Below are 21,107 nucleotides of genomic sequence, written 5' to 3' on the forward strand. Positions count from 1 at the left end.
CTAGGGCAAGAGAGGCCTGCTCTCCGTGAGAATGTTGACGCTGAAATTCTTCCTCTCTGAGCAACTCCCTCCCTGCTGCCCACAGCTGACCTCTTCTGTGAAAGGGCTGGGTAGTTGATGCTGTTGGCTTTGGACTGCTGTTGGCTGCATGGACAGTTGGTAGTGAATGGATGTAGCTGTACTCCAGTGAAGTTTTATTCACACAAACAGGTCTCCCTATCTGGCCTGTGAGCTTTGGTTTGTTGACCCCTGCCATGAGGTTCTGCAGCCTTCCCCACCCCCCGTCCCGGGAGGCCCTCTCAGGAATCTCAGCCACTGTCCGTCACCTGGCTGCCACCACCAACCACAGGGACCATTAGCAAAGCGAAGCTCTGGGGCCACAGCTTCCTGAGGCAGCCCAGAGCCCTTTCTGCGGGACGGGCTGAGCCTGCCCTGTGGCAAGGGGTGGCGCGCCCGGCTGGGGGGCCTTGTGGTGATCCGTGCCTTCCCTCACAGGCTCCGCCGCTTCTGCCACTACATCGTGACCATGAGGTACTTCGAGGTGGTCATTCTCGTGGTCATCGCCTTGAGCAGCATCGCCCTGGCTGCTGAGGACCCAGTGCGCACAGACTCGCCCAGGAACAACGTGAGTGGCCCGGATGGCCGGGTCCCCGCCAGGCTGTGGCGGGGGAGCTGGGTGCCTTCCCAGGGGCCCAAGGGGCTGGGGTGGGGCTGAGGTCCTGTCGTCTCACAGGGCACCCCTCCTTCCTCTGTCTGTGTGCCTGGCAGTGCACGACCAAAGGTCTGGAGACAGGAAGACAGGGTGCGGCAGAGGGGGCCTGTTCCCAGACGGTGCTTGTCAGAGACCCCCTTCCCAGAACCGTTTTCCACAGGCTTCCTGGCTCCCTGGCTGACTGCTCAGAGGCCTGGAGGAAAAACTCGGAGCCACCGAGGGCACCCTGGCTCAGATTTCAGCCCAGCCTTTGAGAATAACCTTCCTTTTGGTTTCAGGCTCTGAAATACCTGGATTACATTTTCACTGGTGTCTTTACCTTTGAGATGGTGATAAAGGTGAGATATGTGGCTGCCCTTGTGACCCCAGTGTTTTGCTCTCCCTCCCTCATGATTGAGATGGGACCAGGGCAGTGGTTGAACCACAATTTCTATAAACTCTTAAGACATATGGTAGGTGTGTGCGTACTGGGTGTGTGCTCAGCACATGAACATGTGCACACAAAGAGGCTTTGTCGTTCACTGAGAAAATTACTTCCCGCGCTGGGAGTGCTCCCCAGTGTCGTGCCTGGGCCTCCACCTGCTCTGGTTTCTTGAACACATGAGCTACATACAGTCTGTCTCCAATGTGCACATGTGGGCGGAGGCCCTTCTTCTTAGGACAGCAAAGGAGGAGGGCTGCATGGCATTGGCTGGGGGAGGAGGAGACCTGGGAGAGAGAGGGTGTTAGAAGATTGTTGGAAGTGGGTGCTGAAGACTTGAATTTAGGAGGGCATTTGTCTTATGATAGATTGAGTCCTTCACTGTCTGCCTCTAAGTGTTGACACGAGGTCCCCCATATCACTGACTAGTGTGGCCCTTGTGTGTTTATGCAGGTGTGCCTTCAGTGTGGTTGAGTGTGCACACACCTGCACGTCCATGACTTCCGTGCAGCTTAGGGTATGTGTGAGCCGGCATGCGTGCACACAGGACAGCGTGTGCATATGGAGCACTGACAGCAGATGCATGAACACGTTACCTCTGCTATTTCACTCTTGCAAAATTCTGTGGGGTGTGTGTCATCATCCCCATTTTACAGATGAGGAAGCTGACCCTTAGCGAGGTTATGTTACCGGCCTAGAATCACAGCAGCAGGAGTGACAGAGCCAGGATGTGAGTGAAGGTCTGCGTAACTGCAGTCCTGCTGCTCTGAGCTTGCCTGCAGGGGATCTGGGCGAGCTCTGAGCTCCCTGGGGCCATGTGTACCTACAGCCCAGTGATGGAGGAGCAGATGGAGATGGAGACCTCAGTCTCATTCAGGCTGCAGGGAATTTAGGAGCCCAGGCAGGATCTCAGCCGGTCACAAGCCATGTAGGGATATTTGGGTCCATGGCATTGAGGTCCAAAGGCCCACTGAGGCCCTTCGGGGTGTGACCTGGGCCGTGTCTCCCTACTCTGACAGGGCATGTAAAGGTGTCTCTAAGGTGCACTGATGTCACAGGTGTGCACATAACGTGTGCACTCAGCCACACTGAGCCTTCCATGGGGACCTAGAGCTATATTCCTCCCCCATGACTCTGGAACCAAGCCCTGTAGCTCTGCCTATCTTTCTAGGTTTGTTTTGGTTTGGTTTTTTGAGACAGGGTCTCACTCTTGTCATCCAGGCTGGAGTATGGTGGCGTGATCTCAGCTCACTGCAGTCTCTGTGTCCTGGGTTCAAGCAATTCTCATGCCTCAGCCTCTCAAGTAACTGGGATTACAGGTGTGCAACACCACACCCGGCTAATTTTTGTATGTTTAGTAGAGATGGGGTTTCACCTTGTTGTCCAGGCTGGTCTTGAACTCCAGAGCTCAGGTGATCCACCCGCCTCAGCCTCCCAAAGTGCTGGGATTTCAGGCATAAGCCACCATGTCTGGCCATGTTTTATTTTTTTTCTTAAGAGACAGGATTTCACCATGTTGCCCTGGCTGGTGTCCAACTCCCGGGCTTAAGCAGTCTGCCTGCCTCAGCCTCCCCAAGTGCTGAGATTACAGGCATGAGCCTCTGCACCTGGCCTCTGCCTGTCTTTTCTGGACTATGACGTATCTAACGTGTGTTTCTCCCTCCTAGATGATCGACTTGGGACTGCTGCTTCACCCTGGAGCCTATTTCCGGGACTTGTGGAACATTCTGGACTTCATTGTGGTCAGTGGCGCCCTGGTGGCGTTTGCTTTCTCGTAAGTAACGTTCGCTCTGCTCTGGCTAGGGAGAGCCCCCAGAATCACGATGGGCGTGAGGGTGAGGGAATAAGGAAGAGGCCCTCTTGTGGGCTTCCCTGGGCTGCCTGTGGCTCTGTTGCTGTCCATGTGGGACTGTCCCTGCCTGCTTGGGGCGGGGCTGCGTGGGGTTAGGAGGGCATGAGGTCTGTCTGTGGCTCTCAAACTAGGTAGGGCCCTGGTGTGGCCTGTGGCCCTGGGACCATCCCCGCCTGCCTGGAGGGGTGGGTGCTATGTGGGGCTGGGAGGCCCTGGTGCGGCCGGTGGCTCTGGGACCGGGCGGCACAGCCTCTGGTGTGTCCAGCGTTTGCCTCCCAGGGTCCTTGGAGGCAACTTCACCTTGACCTGCTCTGAGGCAAGTCTGCTCCTGACCCAGGGAGACCTCTGGTGCTTTCGCCCAAGGCAGAACTGGTGGTCGCCTTCCCCTTTTGGGGCATTAGACGTCTCCTCTGACTCCTGAGCCAGTGGCACTTGGCCCTGCTGTGGCTGGAAATGGAGTTGGCTTCCTCAGATAACTGCATGGAGGGCATTGTCGGGGGCTCAGCTACAGCTGGGGATGGGAATACGGCGGGGAGTTGTGGGGTGAGATCCAGAGACAAGGAAGACCCCTAGTGGACGACAGACATGAGGGAGGGTCCACATCTCTCTGAGCGGCTGGGAGGGCTGCTCCTGGTGCCACTGACTCTGTTCTCTTTGTCTTCCTCTTGCTGGACTCGGCAGGAGCTTCGTGGGGTAATGCCTTCTCTCCCCCACACGCTGCCCCTGACATCACAGCATTCCAGCAGCCCCTCTTGGGTCATTTCATCTCCAGCCTCACCCCCCGCCCATCCACTTTCACCCCATCGGGGCTGCATGCTGCCGGGAGCCAAGTCCCCGGCCAGGGGTTCCTGCCATGCCTCTGGGAGCGGGGCGGGGAGCTGGGCTGGAGCTGGGCATGGTCAGCCCTTGGTGAGGAGCTTGCTGGTGAGCAGGCTGTCACCAGCGAGGGCTGGAGGCTGGGGCCATTGGCCTGGAGGGCAGCAAGGGCTCCGGGAGGGAACTGCCACCTGTGGCCACAGCCCGAGGACCGGGGACATCGCGAGGCGCTCCCGGTGCAGCTCCTCTCTGGAAGAGCGGCATTCTTTCCTCTGTTTCCTCTCCACTCCAGCCCCCTGCAGTTCCCACTATTTCCTCTTTCTGTGATAAAGGAATGAGAGCTTTGCCAAAGCATCAGCTTAGGCCTTGGGAGTGGGAACACTGCAGCCAGGGGTCCCCCAGTCAGGAGGAGGGGAAGGGGTTGGGCCCATCCAGGCGGCTTCAGAGCAGGAGAAAAGGAGCAGGCCCCAGATGGACGCTCCCCCAGAAAGCCTCATTTACTGGGTGACAAAACAGTATCCCCTCCCTCCTGCTCCTGTCCCCTCTTCCCTCAGCTGGCGGAGGAGCTGGTTTGAGAGTGGGTGTCGGGAGCACTGGGGTGATGGAGACAGGAGGCTGGGTTCTTCCCACCTGGAAGCGTTTCAGGGGGAGTTTGATCTGATTCTGGAGTGTAGCCTACAGTCAGGGGAGAAGAAGGGGACCAGGGTGCCTGAGACGTGTAGCTCACTCTCCCTGCTCAGCCCCAAGTGTTGCTGGAGCCCCAGGAAGAGCACAGGGGGCAGGGCCACCCCTAGAAGCAGGCCTTCCCCAGGGAGCGTGGTGGGACGTGGCCTCTGAGCAGGGTGGGAAGGGTTCCATGTGTGAGTGAATCCCACTCAGTCCTGAGTCCTCAGCTCCCACCCTCACCTCCCACCAAGTAGAGTGGCTTTGCTTCTGAGAACGGGGGCCGCCTTAGGAGGAAATCTCTCCTAGACACTGCTGGCCCGGCCTCAGTAGGGTCGTGGGAGGTCCAGTCCCCAGAACCTGCTAATTCCTGCGTCCCTGACAGGTAGAGGCAGCTGCCTGGGTCTGTCCTGGCTTTTTCTTGGAGGGGCCCTGATTGAGGCCCTCTGGTTCTGTACTTCTGCTTGCTTCTGTGCCTGGAATTTTCTTTCCCCGACTTCCTGCCTTGCCGTCCCTGCTCTGCATGAGTTTTCCTGTCTGCTGCTTTCTGGGTAGCATTGATATGTCTGTCTCTATGGCTCTCCCTCCCTCCCTCCCTCCCTCCTTCCCTCCCTCTCCCCTTGTTTGTCTTAGTCCACCATGCCTCTTGCATTGCCTCTGTATTCGTCCGACTTTTTCTCTTTCTTACTCTCCTTCCCCTCTTCTGTCTTCCCGCTGTCGGTTTCACGTCAGCGGGAGGAATGTTAGGACGGCTGAGGAGATCTGTAGGGCAGAGGCCAGACAGGTCCCCTTTACCTCCCTCTAGCCAGCCCAAAAAGCAAGGAAAAAAGCCCTTCCAGAAGATTCTCGCCCTAGAAACGTGCTTGTGGGCTCCCACTTCTGGGTCTGCAGTCCTCGTGCGGGTCTCTTCTGTCCTCTTAATCCTGGAATCTGGGGTGGGAGGGGTGTCAGGGGTGATGGTTCTTCTCCTTGTGCACCAGATGCTGCTGCCCTAGCCCCAGCTCCTGTCCTTAGATGAGGCCCGGGCCAGGCAGCCCCTGGGAAGAGTCATGGTGGCCTGTGGCACCTGCAGGGCAAGGCCTCTCTGCTCCTGGGTCCTCCACCCTGGAGTCTGAGACAAAATGCACAGGGGAGCAGGACTCAGACCCTGGGGGGCCACGTGGGAGCTGGGCACACCCATGCCTCCTGCCTGTCTGCATCTGTGGCTTCTCCCTTCTAGAGGATCCAAAGGGAAAGACATCAATACCATCAAGTCTCTGAGAGTCCTTCGTGTCCTGCGGCCCCTCAAGACCATCAAACGGCTGCCCAAGCTCAAGGTTAGAGCCTGGAGTTGGGGCTTGAGGGATGTGCTGTGTGTGTGTGCGTGTGTGTGTGTGCGTGTGTGTGTGTGTATGCATGCAGTGCATGAGTGTGTGTGTGTTCACATCACACCCCTGTGTGAGGGGGTTGGGCTCACTCAGCTGTAAGCCCCCATTACCCAAGTAGACCTTGTTCCCAGCAGCCTCCTGTGAGAATCCTCCTCCTTAGCCCAGCAGGACCAGGCGGCACAGGGTTTTTCTTCAGCAGCTGCAGTGCAGTGCGGGAAAGGCTGCCGGGACAGGTGCAGGGTGGTGGAGGGAGATGCTGGAGGTGAGGGGCTTGGGACATTGGCTGCTGAGAGGGGGACAGGCATGGGCTGAGCTTCTGGATAAAGACAGAGAATAAACTCAAACTCATAGGGCCACGCTGAAACCTAGTAATTGTGAGCTTGTGCTAGGCCCTGTGCGAATTGCTTCATGTGCTTCAGCTCACTTAATCTCCCAAACCTTTATGCAGCAGATTCTTTTACTGGAAATTCAAGCCATTGAGACCTGAGGCAATGGGGACTTAGAGAAGAAAGTTTGTTTAGAACCTGTATGTGAAGGAGTGGGCTGGCAGGCAGCTGGGGAAGGCGTCGGAGGCCCACTGGGTCCAGGGAGGAGTGGCACCTGCCCTGGCACCGAGTGGCGCTGTGCAGTGGTCATCCACAGTGTGCCAGGCTGCTTTGTGGGAGACGGTTGTGGCCCCACCTTCCCGTCACAGCTAGATCAGAGCAGCCTGTGAGGTGTCTTCCCAGCTCTGAGAGCAGCATTGTGTGCACAGGGAATGCTGAGCTTCCAGGTTGGGAGGGACCCAAGAGAAAGCCTCAGGTGGTGATGGCTGATGACAGGGCGGCCTCGGGCCACAGAGCACACGTGTTCCTGTCCTGGAGCCTACTGCTTTATCCTCAGTTTGCCCAAATTGCTTCCCTGATGGGCAGGGTGCAAGTGCAGGGCAGAGCCTGGCTGCATCCTCTCTGCACAAGCCCAGCACCTGCTGGTGCAGCTGGGTCTGGACTCTTGGTCATTCCCGTTTCTGTGGCTGAACTCTGACCTGTAAGGTCGGCCCTCCTAGGCATCCAGCTGCTGCCTCTAGCACCTCCTGCCCCTCCATCCGGGCCAAGATGCCTCCCCTCACAAGAGACACAGCACCAGTCTTGTGTGTCAAGGAAGCTGGCGGTGGAGCCTCTCTGTGGTCAGGGGCCTGAGGGCCTTGCAGGGCCCTGGAATGCCTGGGGGCCACCTGGGCCTCAGTGGTCCTCAGGTTTCCATCCCGTAGGTGCCCTGCCTGGTCCTCTCTCCTGGCTCCCTTCACATCCTTTCCTGCTTCCGGCCCCTCCCTGTGGCTCCACCTCTTGTCATGGCTCCACTCCTCCCCTCATGGCCCCACCCCCCACCATGGCTCCACCCCTCTCATCATGGCACCACCCTTCCCCTCATGGCCCCACCCTCCCACCATGGCTCCACCCCTTTCCTCATGGCCCCACCCATTCCCTTACGGCCATGCCCTCCCACCTTGGCTTCACCCCCTCATCGTGGCTCCACCCCTCCCCGTGACCCTACCCTTCCCCCTCATGGCCCCACTCTCCCACCATGATTCCACCCCCTCATCATGGCTCCACCCCTCCTCCTGCAGGCTGTGTTTGACTGTGTGGTGAACTCCCTGAAGAATGTCCTCAACATCTTGATTGTCTACATGCTCTTCATGTTCATATTTGCCGTCATTGCGGTGCAGCTCTTCAAAGGGAAGTTTTTCTACTGCACAGATGAATCCAAGGAGCTGGAGAGGGACTGCAGGTAAACTGAGGCAGGGTGCAAGGTGGGACACACAGCCCCATGATGCAGACAACACTGGGAGTTCCCTTGGGACCAGGTGGAGCTGGTCACACGGCGTGGGAGACTCCACTGCAGAGCATCACGGACCCTGCCTGAGGGCCGAGGAGGGGCTTGCTTGAGAAGGGCTAGAGTCACCACAGAAGACAGGATGCATCCCCTCCCCAGCACCACACCAGGGACCCCCAGCACTTCCTCCTCAGCAGAGTCAGGAACCAGGCATGTTCTGAGGGACACAGACATCCAGGGAGCTCAAGGTGCCCACTGGGCAAGGCTTTCTCTAAGCCCTAGAGATCTTGGCTGGGCTGTAAGGTCAGAGGGGCTGCCCGATGGCTGGAGCTGCTGTCACTGTCCACATGAGGCCTCAGAGCTTCCTGTGCCCAGCGCTGCCTCCAAAGTAGACAGGAGAGGGGCCCTTGGGGAAGAGCTGGGGGAAAGCTGGTTAGCTGCCTGTGTGGACCCCGGGCAAGGCAGTACCCACAGTGTCTTCCTGCCCACGCGGCAGCGTCCCAGCTGCTTCTGTGTGAATATCATGCAGCTTCCTCCTGTGCCGTGTGACTGATGGGCACTTGGCTGTTTGCAGCTGGGAATGCTGCACGTGCACACGTCCGCCAGGGAGCAGTAGCAGTTTGGGGAGGTGTATCTGTCTGGTAGTGGAATTGCCGGGTCCTGGGTGTGCGTGTACTCAGCCTTAGTAGATGCTGCCAGGCCCTTGTGTAAAATTACACTCTCTCCAGCGTAGATGAGAGCCCCACATCCTAGCTAAATCTTGGTGTTTTCTTTCTCGCCTTTCTGGGTGTAGTGGTCATTCACCGTGGTTTAATTTTGCACTTGTGTGATGACCAATGAGATTGAGCCCCCTTTGCTAGGGGGATTGGCCGCTTAGGTGTTCTTTTCTGGAAGTGTCTGCCTGTGGTCCTGTGTCTGCTGTCTGCCTCTTTCCTGTCGGTTACTAGGAATCATGTAATGTTCTGGACAGGAACCCTTTGTCATATGTATGGATCGCAGACGTCTTCTCCTCCTCTGAATGGTGCTTTCTACTCTTTTAATGGTGTCTTTTAAAAAACAAAGTTCTTTTTTCTTTTTCTTTTTTTTTTTTTTTGAGACAGGATCTCACACTTTTGCCCAGGCTGGAGTGCAGTGCTGCTATTGCAGCTTAATGCAGCCTCGAACTGTCAGGCCCAAGTGATCCTCCCTCCTCAACCTCCTGAGTAGCTTAGACAACTACAGGCACGTGCCACCATGCTTGGCTAATTTTTAAAATTTTTTGTGGAGATGAGGTCTTGCTATGTTGCCAAGCTGGTCTCGAGCTCCTGGGCTCAAGCAGTCCTCTTGCCTCGGCCTCCTAGAGTGCTGGGATTACAGGTGTGAGCCACTGTACCCAACCATAGTTCTTGATTTTAATAGAGTCCAACTGATCTTTTTTATTCTTTTATGCTGAGTACTCTTTATATCCTGTTTAAGAAATCTATCCCAAGGCCAGGGATGTTTTCTTGTGTTTTCTTCTGAAAAGTGTTATTTTTGCCTTTCACATTAAGATCTGCAGTTTACTTGGAAGTTGATTTTTATGTGTTACATAAGGTATGGGTTAAGATACGTTTTCTGACGATAGATATCCAATTCACCCAGCATCGTTTATTTGAAAAGATCATTCTTACCCAGTGTAATGGATTTTTTAAAAAACAAAAACAAAACAGCTTTAGGCCAGGCGCGGTGGCTCACGCCTGTAATCCCAGCACTTTGGGAGGCTGAGGTGGGTGGATCATGAGGTCAGGAGTTGGAGACCAGCCTGGTCAAAATAGTGAAACCCTGTCTCTACTAAAACTACAAAAAATTAGCTGGGTATGGTGGCCAGCACCTGTAATCCCAGCTGCTCAGGAGGCTGAGGCAGGCGAATCGCTTGAACCTGGAAGGCGGAGGTTGCAGTGAGCCAAGATTGTGCCACTGCACTCCAGCCCGGGCGACAGTGTAAGACTCTGTCTCAAAAAAAAAACAAAAACAGAAACAAAAAAACAGCTTTATTGAGATGTAACTAACACATTATACTGCTTGTTCATAACAATCCACTTACAGTGTGCAATTAAGTGGCTTTTAGTCTATTTACAGGTACATGCAAGCATCGCCACAGTCAATTTTAGAACACATTTTCAGCACCTCAAAAAAAAAGAAAAACCCGCACCGTTTAACTATCATCCCCTACATCCCTGTCCCACCCCTAGCCAACTATGAATCTGTTTTTAATCTCTGTAAACCTCTCTGTTCTGGACACTTTTTGTAAATTGAATGATACAATATGTGGTCTTTTGTGAGTAGCTTCTTTCGTGTGATGTTTTCAGGTTTGTCCACGCAGTGGCTTGTGTCAGAGCCTTGTTCCTTGTTACGGCTGAATATGTGTTCTGTGCTGTGCCACATTTTCCTTATTCTTTCATTTGCTGATGAACATTGGGTTGTTTCTACCTTGTGGCTGTTATAAATGATGCTGTTGTATACATTTATGTCCACATTTTTGTGTGGGTCTGTTTTTGCTTCTCATGGGTGTGTACCTAAAAGTGGAATTAATGAGTGATTGGGTAACTCTGTGTTTAACTGTTTGAGGAAATGCCAGACTGTTTCCAAAGTGGCTAAAGCATTGTATATTCCCACCAGCAATGCATGAGGGTTCTGAATTCCCCATATCCTTGCCAACACTTGTGGTTTTCCATCTTTTTAGTTTTGGTATTTTTTAAACTACAGCCATCATCATGGGCATGAAGTGGTGTCTCGTGGTGGTTTTTATTTGCCTTTCCCTGATGATGAGTGGTGTTGAGCAGCGTTTCATGTGCTTAATAGCCATTTGTATATCTTCTTTGGAGGAGTGTCTATTCAGATCCTTTACCCATTTTTTATTTGGGTTTTTTTTTTTTTTTTTTTTGAGACGGAGTCTCGCTCTGTTGCCCAGGCTGGAGTGCAGTGGCGCGATCTCGGCTCACTGCAGGCTCCACCTCCCGGGTTCACGCCATTCTCCTGCCTCAGCCTCCCGAGTAGCTGGGACTATAGGCGCCCGCCACCACGCCCGGCTAATTATTTTTGTATTTTTAGTAGAGACGGGGGTTCACCATGTTAGCCAGGATGGTCTCCATCTCCTGACCTCGTGATCCGCCCGCCTCGGCCTCCCAAAGTGCTGGGATTACAGGCGTGAGCCACCGCGCCCGGCCTTTTTTATTTATTAGAATAGTTATTTACATATTCTAAATACAACTCCCTTATCAGACAGAGGATTAGGAAATAAGTATTTTTCCCATTCTGTGGATTTGTCTCTTTACGTTCTCGGCGTCCTCTGAGCACAGAAGTGTCCGATTTGATGCGGCCTGATTTATCTGTATTTTTTATTCTGTTGCTCATGATTTTGGTGTCACATCTAAGGCTCCATTCCCAGATTCGAGGTCACGAAGTTTTGCCCCCGTTTTCCTCTAAGTGTTTTATAGTTTTAGCTCCTTACACTTAGGTCTGGAATCCATCATGAGTTAATTTTTGTCTATGGAGTAAAGTAGGGTCACATTCATTCTTCTGCATGTGGACATCCAGTTTTCCCAGCACAGTCTGTTGGAGAGGCCATTCTTTCCCCACGGAATGGTTTCAACACTCTTGATAGGTGGGTTTATTTGGATCTTTTGTCTTTGCCCTCTAACCTCCCATGTTCTCATTCCTAGGGGTCAGTATTTGGATTATGAGAAGGAGGAAGTGGAAGCTCAGCCCAGGCAGTGGAAGAAATACGACTTTCACTACGACAATGTGCTCTGGGCTCTGCTGACGCTGTTCACAGTGTCCACGGGAGAAGGCTGGCCCATGTGAGTGCTCATCCTGCTCTCCGTAGCTGGGGCAGGCAGCCCCTGAGCTCGGCCTCCCTTCCTCCCTCTATCCCTGGGCTCAGGCATGGAAGCAGACCCACCCTTGTGGTGCAGGTCTTGAGTTCTTAGGGCTGTCTCCTTTGGGGGTTCCCCTGACACTTGCTCTCCTCTTTGCCCAGGGTGCTGAAACACTCCGTGGATGCCACCTATGAGGAGCAGGGTCCAAGCCCTGGGTACCGCATGGAGCTGTCCATCTTCTACGTGGTCTACTTTGTGGTCTTTCCCTTCTTCTTCGTCAACATCTTTGTGGCTTTGATCATCATCACCTTCCAGGAGCAGGGGGACAAGGTGATGTCTGAATGCAGCCTGGAGAAGAACGAGGTAGGTGGACGCTCTGTGGAGTCTTGCAGTGGACAGCGTGGGCAGCGCCATCAGGCTTCCCTCCTGCACACAAATCACTCACAGCTGGGTCAGCTTTGGCTGCCACCGTCTGCCAACACAGGGGCAGGTCCTCCTTTCTCCTGCAGAGGGACCGGATTTGGCTGGTTGAGGCCTGCTTGGAGAAGGTCTGGGCTGCTTCAATTTGTCTTCTGTTGTCAGGGCTCCCTGTGAGGCCTGGCGAGACAGGGCTGGGTGCAGTAGATGCCGTCGGGTAGGTTTTCTGCTTCTGAGTCTCTGTGCTCCTTTCTCCCCTTACAGAGGGCTTGCATTGACTTCGCCATCAGCGCCAAACCCCTGACACGGTACATGCCCCAAAACCGGCAGTCGTTCCAGTATAAGACGTGGACATTTGTGGTCTCCCCGCCCTTTGAATACTTCATCATGGCCATGATAGCCCTCAACACTGTGGTGCTGATGATGAAGGTGTGTGGGGCTCAGCGCAGAGGGGCAGCTGGCGCTGCTAGGGATTGGGATCTAACCCTGAGGCTGAGTGGAGAGTCAGCCTTCTTCCTCCCTGCATGAGCCAAAGCAGTAGTGGCCTTGCATCCTGGCCAGCATGGGATGCCTGTGGAATCCTGTTTCCCTTTGTTGTCTGTGGGCTGGGACAGTGGGGAGGTTCTGGGAGGACTCGGGGAGAGCAGGAAGGGGTGTCCCAGGCCTAGGCAGGCATCGAGTTCTGTCTGCCCGCTTTGCTTGGTCATAGTGGTCCCAGATGGGGTGTCTTGGGGCTGCCAAACCCATGGCCAACAGTGCCTATTCCCCGGGCAGTTCTATGATGCACCCTATGAGTACGAGCTGATGCTGAAATGCCTGAACATCGTGTTCACATCCATGTTCTCCATGGAATGCGTGCTGAAGATCATCGCCTTTGGGGTGCTGGTACGTGCTTTGGTCCCTGCTTTGCCTTTTGACAACCTATATTCTGGTTCCCCATCTGTAGGGCGACCTTTGGGGGCTCACAATTTGGAGCTGGGAATTCTCCGAGTACCCAGAGTATATGTAATGCTACAGGGGCCCTGGGGAAGGGGCTGTTCTGAGACTCTTGGCTACATAAGCTCTGCCCCCAGCCTAGGTCCTGGGAGGGAGGCAGGGCTGGGTTCTTCCTCTTTGGACACATGGCTCTTAGTCCTGCCTCTGCCCAGGCCCAGAGGTATCTGTGTCCCTGGCTTTGACATCTGCTTACCTCTGGCCTTGTGCTGTGCCCCCTGGGGTGGCCTGTCTGCCCTGTGCTCAGGGTCTATCACCCTCACCGCTTTCTTAATCAGGGCCACCACCTATATATACCTCTTTGCCAACAGAGCCCTCATCAGCCGCTGGCACTAACTGCTCTTCTTTTTCTCTAGAACTATTTCAGAGATGCCTGGAATGTCTTTGACTTTGTCACTGTGTTGGGAAGTATTACTGATATTTTAGTAACAGAGATTGCGGTAAGTAGCATTTCTGTCCCTCCTTCAGGGTCCCCAGGTGGTTTCCTTCTAGAGCCTGCTCCCCTCAGTGCATCTCCAGGCCCTGTGTTAGCCTCTTCCTGGGTTCCGCAGAACCCCCTGGACATGTGGAGGCTTCGCTCCAGGGGTGGAGTTTAGGGATTGGGTGTTACCTCAGCAGATGTTCTTTCTTGAATAAGAAAGTGGTTCTCAAAGATCTTTTGGGCTGCTGGCCTGAGAGTTACCTGGAGCTCCATGGTAACAACTAATCAAGAAGATGTGAATCTTAAATTTGTATCTGTATAATATGTATCTAACAAGGTGGTATCAAAAATATATAAACTGAAACCAGTAAGGATTTATATTTCAAAATATTGCCCCCCACCGTCTCTCTATCTCTCTCTATATATATCTGGAAATACTCATTCTTACCAAACATATGTGGATTATGTCTTAAAATTGACCAGTGCTGGGATATAAACTTGTCTCAACAAATTTCAAAGCATCTGAATCATAAAGCAACATTCTTTGAGTACAACACATTACACTGGAAATCAATGGCAGAAAATCTCATTTGTTTGGTCTTAGGTTGAATTCTCGAGAAGCAGACGCAGACACGAGCACTCATGTGAAATTTATTTCTTAAGTTATGTTCCCAGTAGAAACCAGCAGAGGGGCATGGGGAAATGGGTGGGAAGAGAAGGACCAGAAATCCTGCGTCCCAAGCCAAGTCCTGGTGGGTCAGTGTGGGTCATCTCCCAAGGGACTTCTGGCAGCAGCGTAGGTCGCACCTCAGAGCTATCCCTGCTGGAAAGGGAGCTGCAACGTGTTTGCCTCTGCACCCTCCGCACGGCATTAGGCTGAGGGCTGCACCTGGGGTGTCAATTCTCAGATGCTTCCAGCTCCCTGAGTGTGCCACGAGTGCTGCACCCAAGCTGTTAGGGCTGAAGGGACGTCTGACACCATCAGAGGAGAACCTGCTGGAGCACCAGGCTCCTTCCTGTTCTGCCCACACTTCACATTGGGTTCACTGTGCTCATTCTTTAGGATGGTGCTGGTCATGGTCTCTGGGAGACAGAGCGGAGCTCCGTCTGCTGTGCTGGTCCAAGCAGAGCTGGTGTTCATCATCCCGTTCCCCCCACCCTTTCTAGAGCCCCTGAGCTGATGTTCATCATCCCGTCCCCACCACCCTTTCTAGAGCCCCTGTCCTGTGGCCAGCCTTCTGCTGCACTGGTTGCTGGCCTGGTGGGATGACCCAGACCCTCAGCCCTGCGCATCCCAAGTCCCTACTTGTTGCCGTTCTTTTTCCAACCCTGGCTGCCGTGGTAATCCAGTCGCAGTGAAGACTGCGCACAGGAGCGTGTTCATAGGAGCATGGAGAAAGGCCCAGTGAAGCCCCTGATTCCCAGAATTATGCAGTGGCAGCTCTGCCCTTCACAGTAATGAGGGTCAGATGATCTGGCTGGCATGGAAACTCTTTGTGATGCCTGCTGGCCTTCTGGCACGAGCAGCCCCAAGTGACCAGGTGGCCACCATGGCTTTGGTGTTGTGTGGTAGAAGCCTTCTCCACCTGTTTGAACCAGGGCCTCTAGATTTGCCAGACCTAAAATTGGGGAAGATGAGCGCAGAGTTCATACTGGGTTTCTGGAGCGATGGTGAGACAGGCCCCTTCTTCTTTCACCATTTCCTCCATCCATACATTTTACTGATTGGGCACCCAGTACCATCGATTGGCCGTTGGTTCATCTTGAAATATGGCACCCCAACCCCATGAAGTGTATCACCAAGCCGGCATTTTATCTCTGCCTTTAAGGTCAGGGCAGCGTCTCCTAAGTGGTGTTGCGTTAGATGATCCAGTGGACCCCGCGGTCACCTGGCTCACATGCATCCCCTGCGTGTGCTCCAAGCTGATGTTATATGGAATCCTGTGTTGGTAAATCTCTGAGATGTTAGTGCCGGCACGGTACTGCACAAGGAAAGGCAAACCCACACCTGGGATGTGGGTGGATCCCAGATGAGACAAATCACTGCCCTTTCCAGGAGAGGGTGTTCTGATATAATCAGCTTACCACTAGGTGGCTGGTTGACAGCCCCAAGGCATGGCACCAGATGGAAGCCCAGTGTTGCTGTCTGTTCATTCCCGGTAGATAATCGTCAGTGGTCATGACTGGATCATGCTGCTGAGAGGCTCTTGGCCACGATGGTCACCCTATCCAGAGGTCTGCTGTGTGGACACTGGGGCTGGTGAGGACAGAGGCTAGCCAATATCTGTTGGTCGACTTATCCCAGTGCTTGGTTTTTAGTGCCCCATGGTGAGCATTGGTTTGCAAAACAAAGGCCTGTACCCCATGCCTGTTCCCAAGGCCCATCTGTCTGCCTCTCACCTAGACCTTGTTCCCTCCAGGATCCTGACCAGCCGTTTGTGCCTGCCTAGGACCCTGTTATCCTCAGCACAGGCAACTTGTTTTCCCCCCCACACAGAGCTGACCAGATACCCTGCCCAGGGCTCTGCTCCACCTCTGTCTTTCAGGCTGTTCCTATGTGAGGCTGTAGTGAGGCCTGCACCAGTATACCAAGCAACCCATCCACAAATCAGGTCTGCGTTTCCCCCTAAGTTGTAGTGAATCCCCATGAAGTGATGGCGGGAGTGAGGTGAGGACGTCATTGGTCAACAGAGGTGCGTGTCATGGGGGATTGGGCCACATGTTGTGTGCTGTGTCCTCTAGACATGCTTGGGTTCGGTCGTAGAGGTACCCCTTCCATTGTTCACTGGGCCTGTGGTGGGTCTGACAGCACATCACTATGGGGAGATGCTTTGGTGTCATAGACAGCGATGTCTCTTGGTGACACACACAGCTGCCACCAGGGCCAGGAAGTAGGTTGGCCCCTCTCATTATGCTTCCGTTCTGTAGATGGCATGGCCTGCTCCCAAATGCTGGGTGTCTGCACTGACTTCTCTGTGGAGGCTTTCCCAGGACTTTACCCAGTATCCTTACCTACCACATACACATCAAGGACCCTGGGGGTTGCTGGGTTTTGTGGCCCAAGTGGCAGGGCCACTGCTATCACATCCTGGGTCTGTTGGAGACCTCACTTGTGCTCTGAAACCTCTCAAGCATGGCAGCGTCTTGAGTCACAGCAGTATTTCCTAAGTGGCCTATGCCATCTCCAAAACGCAAAGCAGCCTACCCGCAGTAGAAGTGTGAGGTGCAATCACTAACTTGTCTCTTACCTTGGAGTCCTTGTCCTGGCATAGCCCAGACCACTGGACCCCTAAAAACTTCACTGACGTGGAAGGTCCATGAATCCTTGTAAGATTTATCACCTGTGCTCTGGAGTGCGTCAGGGCATCTGATCTAAGTAACATAACATCATCAGTGTGGTGGACCAGTGTGGTGTTCTGAAGAATGTCTTGGCAGGCACAGTGGCCACACCTGTGATCTCAGGGCTTTGGGAGGCCAAGGCAGGGAACGTCTTGGGCAGGCACAGTGGCCACACCTGTGATCTCAGGGATTTGGGAGGCCAAGGTAGAAAGATCACTTCAGCCTAGGAGTTGGAGACTAGCCTAGGCAAGACGGCGAGACCCTGTCTCTGTAAAAAATTTAAAAATTTAGCCAGGCATAGTGGCACACGCCCGTAGTCCCAGCTACCCAGGAGGCTGAGGCAGGAGAATCACTTGAGCCCAGGAAGTCAAGGCTGCAGTGAGCTATGATCGCACCACTGCACTCCAGCCTGGGCCACAAAGTGAGTCCCTGTCTCTAAAAAATAAAAATAAGAATTCCAAATGATTAAGAGTACCTTTGGACCATGTTGTGACATAGGGTCAGACTGTGAATGTCTGCTGTGGATACAAACTGCTTCTGACCCTGCTTAGCAGTGACTGCTGAAGAGTGTGCTCACCAGGTTGGCACCTGTGTGCCAAGTCCCAGAGGCTGAGTAGATCTGTTCTATTAAAGATACCAAATCTCCCACAGCAGTGGGTACTGAGCCTGGGTTATCTGGGGAGTAGTCCAGTGTCATCCATTGTGATCCAGTTTTCTTGCACAGTCCATACTGGTGAATTAAATGGGAATGAGGTGTAGACCAACCACCCCTTTATCTTTTAATTATTCGAGGTGGCACTAACCTCTCCATTCCATACTGGATGCAGTGTTATAATGTACCGTTTTGGCTGGGGGGTGTCGGTGTTGAGGACTTTCCTATTGTTATGTCTACTTCACATGTCGAGGAGCCAGTGTGGTGGGTTCGGCCAGTTAGTTAGGACTAGCCAAATGAACACCAGCTGTGCCTGGGCACACGAGACCACTGAGAGATGGGCCTGGGCCAGGGATTCATTGGTGTCCTGGCCCCTGCGCACACTCTGAGATGGAGCCGCAATCTCATTTTAGTTCCTTGGTATCAATGTTATCTTGGACCTTGTATCCAACAGCCTTCAAAACCTCCGGGTATTCTTTCTCCAGTGTGCAATTTCTCAAGTAAACGAACCAGATCTCCTTGGGGAGGGGCAGAGAAATGGTTGCTGTCTGGATCCAGTGTGCAATTTCTCAAGTAAACGAGCCCGATCTCCTTGGGGAGGGCAGAGAAATGGCTGCTGTCTGGACTCCTTCTTGTGTTGTAGGATTCTTCTGCAAGGGGGCCCAGTCTCTCCTCTAAGCTGTGGACCCTGGATCTGAAAACTGACTGGTTGAGAGACTCGGGAGGGAGCATGTTTGTCCATGGTGGTGGCTGTTATCAGCCTTCTGCTCACTTACTTTCATTCTTTTGAATTCTATATTTACATATGTTAATCTCAAGCAGCATCCTTGTTGGCGCTGCCCCTCTGTCCTGCCTCTAGGAATGCCATGGCCGATTAGCCGAAGCAGCATCCTTGTTGGCAATGCCCCTTTGTCCTGCCAATGCCATGGCTGATTAGCCACCACTGTGGACCTTTGCAGGTCAGGGCTCTTGGTTGCCATTGAGGCCTCGCTGCCCACTGTGGTGGTTCCAGGCAACCAGCCATGGAAGGGAGCCAGCCTCATGTGATTGTGTGCTGCCATGGAGCCTCTGCAGCTCCAGAGCCTTCTCTTCTTCCCAAAGGAATCCCTGCTCCATGACAGCATCTCCTCCCGTCAACCCTGGCCTGCAGAAGAGAACCACCAGTGGCCTTGTGCGTGATGCCAGTGCCCTCCTCCCAAAACGCTCTGAGAAGCTGGTTGGCTCGTGGGCACTTGGATCGTACATGATAGGTTCTTTCTAGCATGCCTACCTCTCTGAGCCTTTTGGTCCTATGCTCAGCATCTGCCAAGGCAGTTCTGGCACCCTCACCTCATTTAATGTGGGCTATGAGGTTTTCCAAGCTCCTGGGAGTCATCCCAGCAGCCTGTTAGCACCTGCTTCAGGTGCCCTCGCCAGGGTATTGGATCCTGAGTCATGGGAGAAAGCTCCCCTACATTAAAAATAGTTTTTTATCCTGCCTGTCTTCCAGCCATCCTCATCCAGTCCCTCCCACCTTGCTCCTGCCACACATACCCGTTATATCACACAGCCCTTCACTGGGCAGCCTTTTTTTCTCACTCAGCAGGACCACCGCTTCCCAAGTCAGGCTGTATGAAAACTCGAGTTGTGGGTCTAGTGGCCGGCATTGGAAGTGAGGTGGAACTTGGGGAGGGTGAGTACCATCGTGGAAAGCATCCACCTCAGCTGAGACTCCTGCAGGTATTCAGGCAAGACAAAGTGAGGTCCTGCAGCAGGGAGGGGGACGCTCCTGCAGGCCCAGGCAGTCCCGGGGCATCTGAGAGCTCTGTGTTGGGGGCATGCCCACACTGGTGTTCCTCCTCTGCGTGGCAGAGCCTGCCCTTCCTTTCTGGGTGCTGACGTTGGAGCATGAGAGACTTGTGGAGTCCTCTCTAGAGCCCTGGTCCTCCCTTGAGTCCCAGGCTGGTCAGCACAATCCGAAACACAGACCACATTTGGGTTATGCTTGGAGTTGCTAATTGACAACTTGTAATGTTTTCTTCCCCAGAGTAATTGGTGGCACTTAGCCATGGTTCACCAGCTCTACCATCCTTACAGCGCCCATTCCTGACAGCCTGTGGATGCTAATGATATCTTGCGGTATCGTTATTGCACCCCTTTCAACCCTTTACAGATTTGCCCAAGATGAAGGTTTCAGCAGTTTTAATGCTACAGCACACCAGGAGTTACCGTCACCTCACTTACCACCCACCAACAGAGGAGAATCTGTCCAGTGAGCCACTCCCCAAGGTCTCCATCCTTAGAGTCGGCTTCCAAGGAACCACCCCTGGTGTCACCTGTCTTTGGATCAGAACGTGTGATCCAAATGTGATTTACTGGAATCACAGTTTCCAGGAATAGTTGGTGAGGATGGGGGCAGTTGGATAAGGAAGAGATCCAGTTTCAATCAATTCCATGTAATTTGGGCTCCTTCCTGCAGGGGAGCTCTGAGGGTAGTGTGGATGCCACATCAGAGTTGTCCCAGTGAGGGGCAAGAGAGTGCAGCATGGGCTCCACCTGCAAAGCAGGTTCTGGCAGCCTGTGGGAATCCCTGCATCAAGAGACCCAAGAGGGCGGGGCACGCTGGCTCACGCCTGTACTCCCAGAACTTTGGGAGGCTGAGGTGGGAGCATCGCTTGAACCCAGGAGTTCGAGGCTGCAGTGAGTTATGATTGTACCACTGCACTCCAGTCTGGGCAACAGAGCAAAACGCTAAAAAAATAAGAGAGAGAGAGAGAGAGGCAGGGAGGCAGGAGGAGAGAGACAGAGGGGGAAGGAGAGAGACAAGTGCTGCTGTGGGGCGTGAAAGTGCATTGGGAGCCAGTGTGGACAGAAGCAGAGCGATCACAGGGCCTGTGTGGCTGAGACACTAACAGTACCTTCTCCACTTTTAAGGAAATGAACTTCTGAATAAGTCATGGGTAAAAGATGAAATGATGGAAATTAGAAAATATAAATAACAGAAAAACAATGAAAATACTGTATATTAAAGCTCATGAGATAACAGCTGAAGCAGTACTCAGAAAGAAATTTACAGCCTTAATGTTTATATTAGAAAAAGAAAACGGTGTAAAAATTAATGAGTTTAGCATCTAACTTTAAAAGTTAGAAAAAGAACAACAGAATAAGCTCAATAAAGTAGAAGAAAAGTATAAGAATAGAAATTAAGAAAGTGGAAAACAAAGACTAGAGAGAATCAATAAAGTCTAAACTTAGTTCTTTAAAGACTTAAAAATTGACACACTTCTGGCAAGATTAATCAAAGAAAAATAAGAAGGTAAAATACACGATGTAAGGCAGGGGAGAGGGGTCATGATGGTAGGTACAGGAGAGAGTAACGTGAATAACGTGAAGGAGAATATTGTGAATAGTTTATGCCAGTACGTTTGAAAACCTAGGTAAGTGAACACATTACTAGAAAAATATAAATGACTGAATGTGACAAAAGAAGAGAGAAAAACCCTAAATGGTTCTTTATTAAAGCATTAAAGAAGTTGAGTCAATAAACAATCTTCCTATAAAGAAAACACCAGATTCTAGTGGTCTTATACATTAGGTTTCTACTTAAAATATAAGGAAAGATCATTCCACTCTTAAACAGATTTTTCTAGAGAACAGAAAAAGAGTGAACATTCTCTAACTAACTAGACTAGTATAATGTTGACATTAAAATTTTTTTAAAAGAAGAGAAGGCTGGGTGCAATGGCCCAGGCCTATAATCCTAGCACTTTGGGAGGCTGAGGTGGGCAGATCACCTGAGGTCAGAAGTTCGAGACGAGTGGATAACA

The 21,107-nt window shown here is 52.8% G+C and overlaps 1 protein-coding gene across 2 annotated transcripts in view; it reads left to right on the forward strand.

Moving 5' to 3' along the window:
• CACNA1B (calcium voltage-gated channel subunit alpha1 B) overlaps positions 1-21,107 on the forward strand; it is a 246,838-nt gene that overhangs the window by 168,627 nt on the left and 57,104 nt on the right. For both annotated transcript variants that reach the window (NM_000718.4, NM_001243812.2), the window contains exons 22-31: positions 496-625; positions 991-1,050; positions 2,801-2,907; positions 5,684-5,780; positions 7,438-7,598; positions 11,324-11,461; positions 11,641-11,842; positions 12,161-12,325; positions 12,671-12,781; positions 13,246-13,329. In NM_000718.4, the coding sequence (NP_000709.1) occupies positions 496-625; positions 991-1,050; positions 2,801-2,907; positions 5,684-5,780; positions 7,438-7,598; positions 11,324-11,461; positions 11,641-11,842; positions 12,161-12,325; positions 12,671-12,781; positions 13,246-13,329 (1,255 nt within the window). The remainder of the gene's footprint in view (positions 1-495; positions 626-990; positions 1,051-2,800; positions 2,908-5,683; positions 5,781-7,437; positions 7,599-11,323; positions 11,462-11,640; positions 11,843-12,160; positions 12,326-12,670; positions 12,782-13,245; positions 13,330-21,107) is intronic.

The sequence above is a fragment of the Homo sapiens genome, chromosome 9 (assembly GCF_000001405.40).
Source record: "Homo sapiens chromosome 9, GRCh38.p14 Primary Assembly".
NCBI lineage: Eukaryota > Metazoa > Chordata > Mammalia > Primates > Hominidae > Homo > Homo sapiens.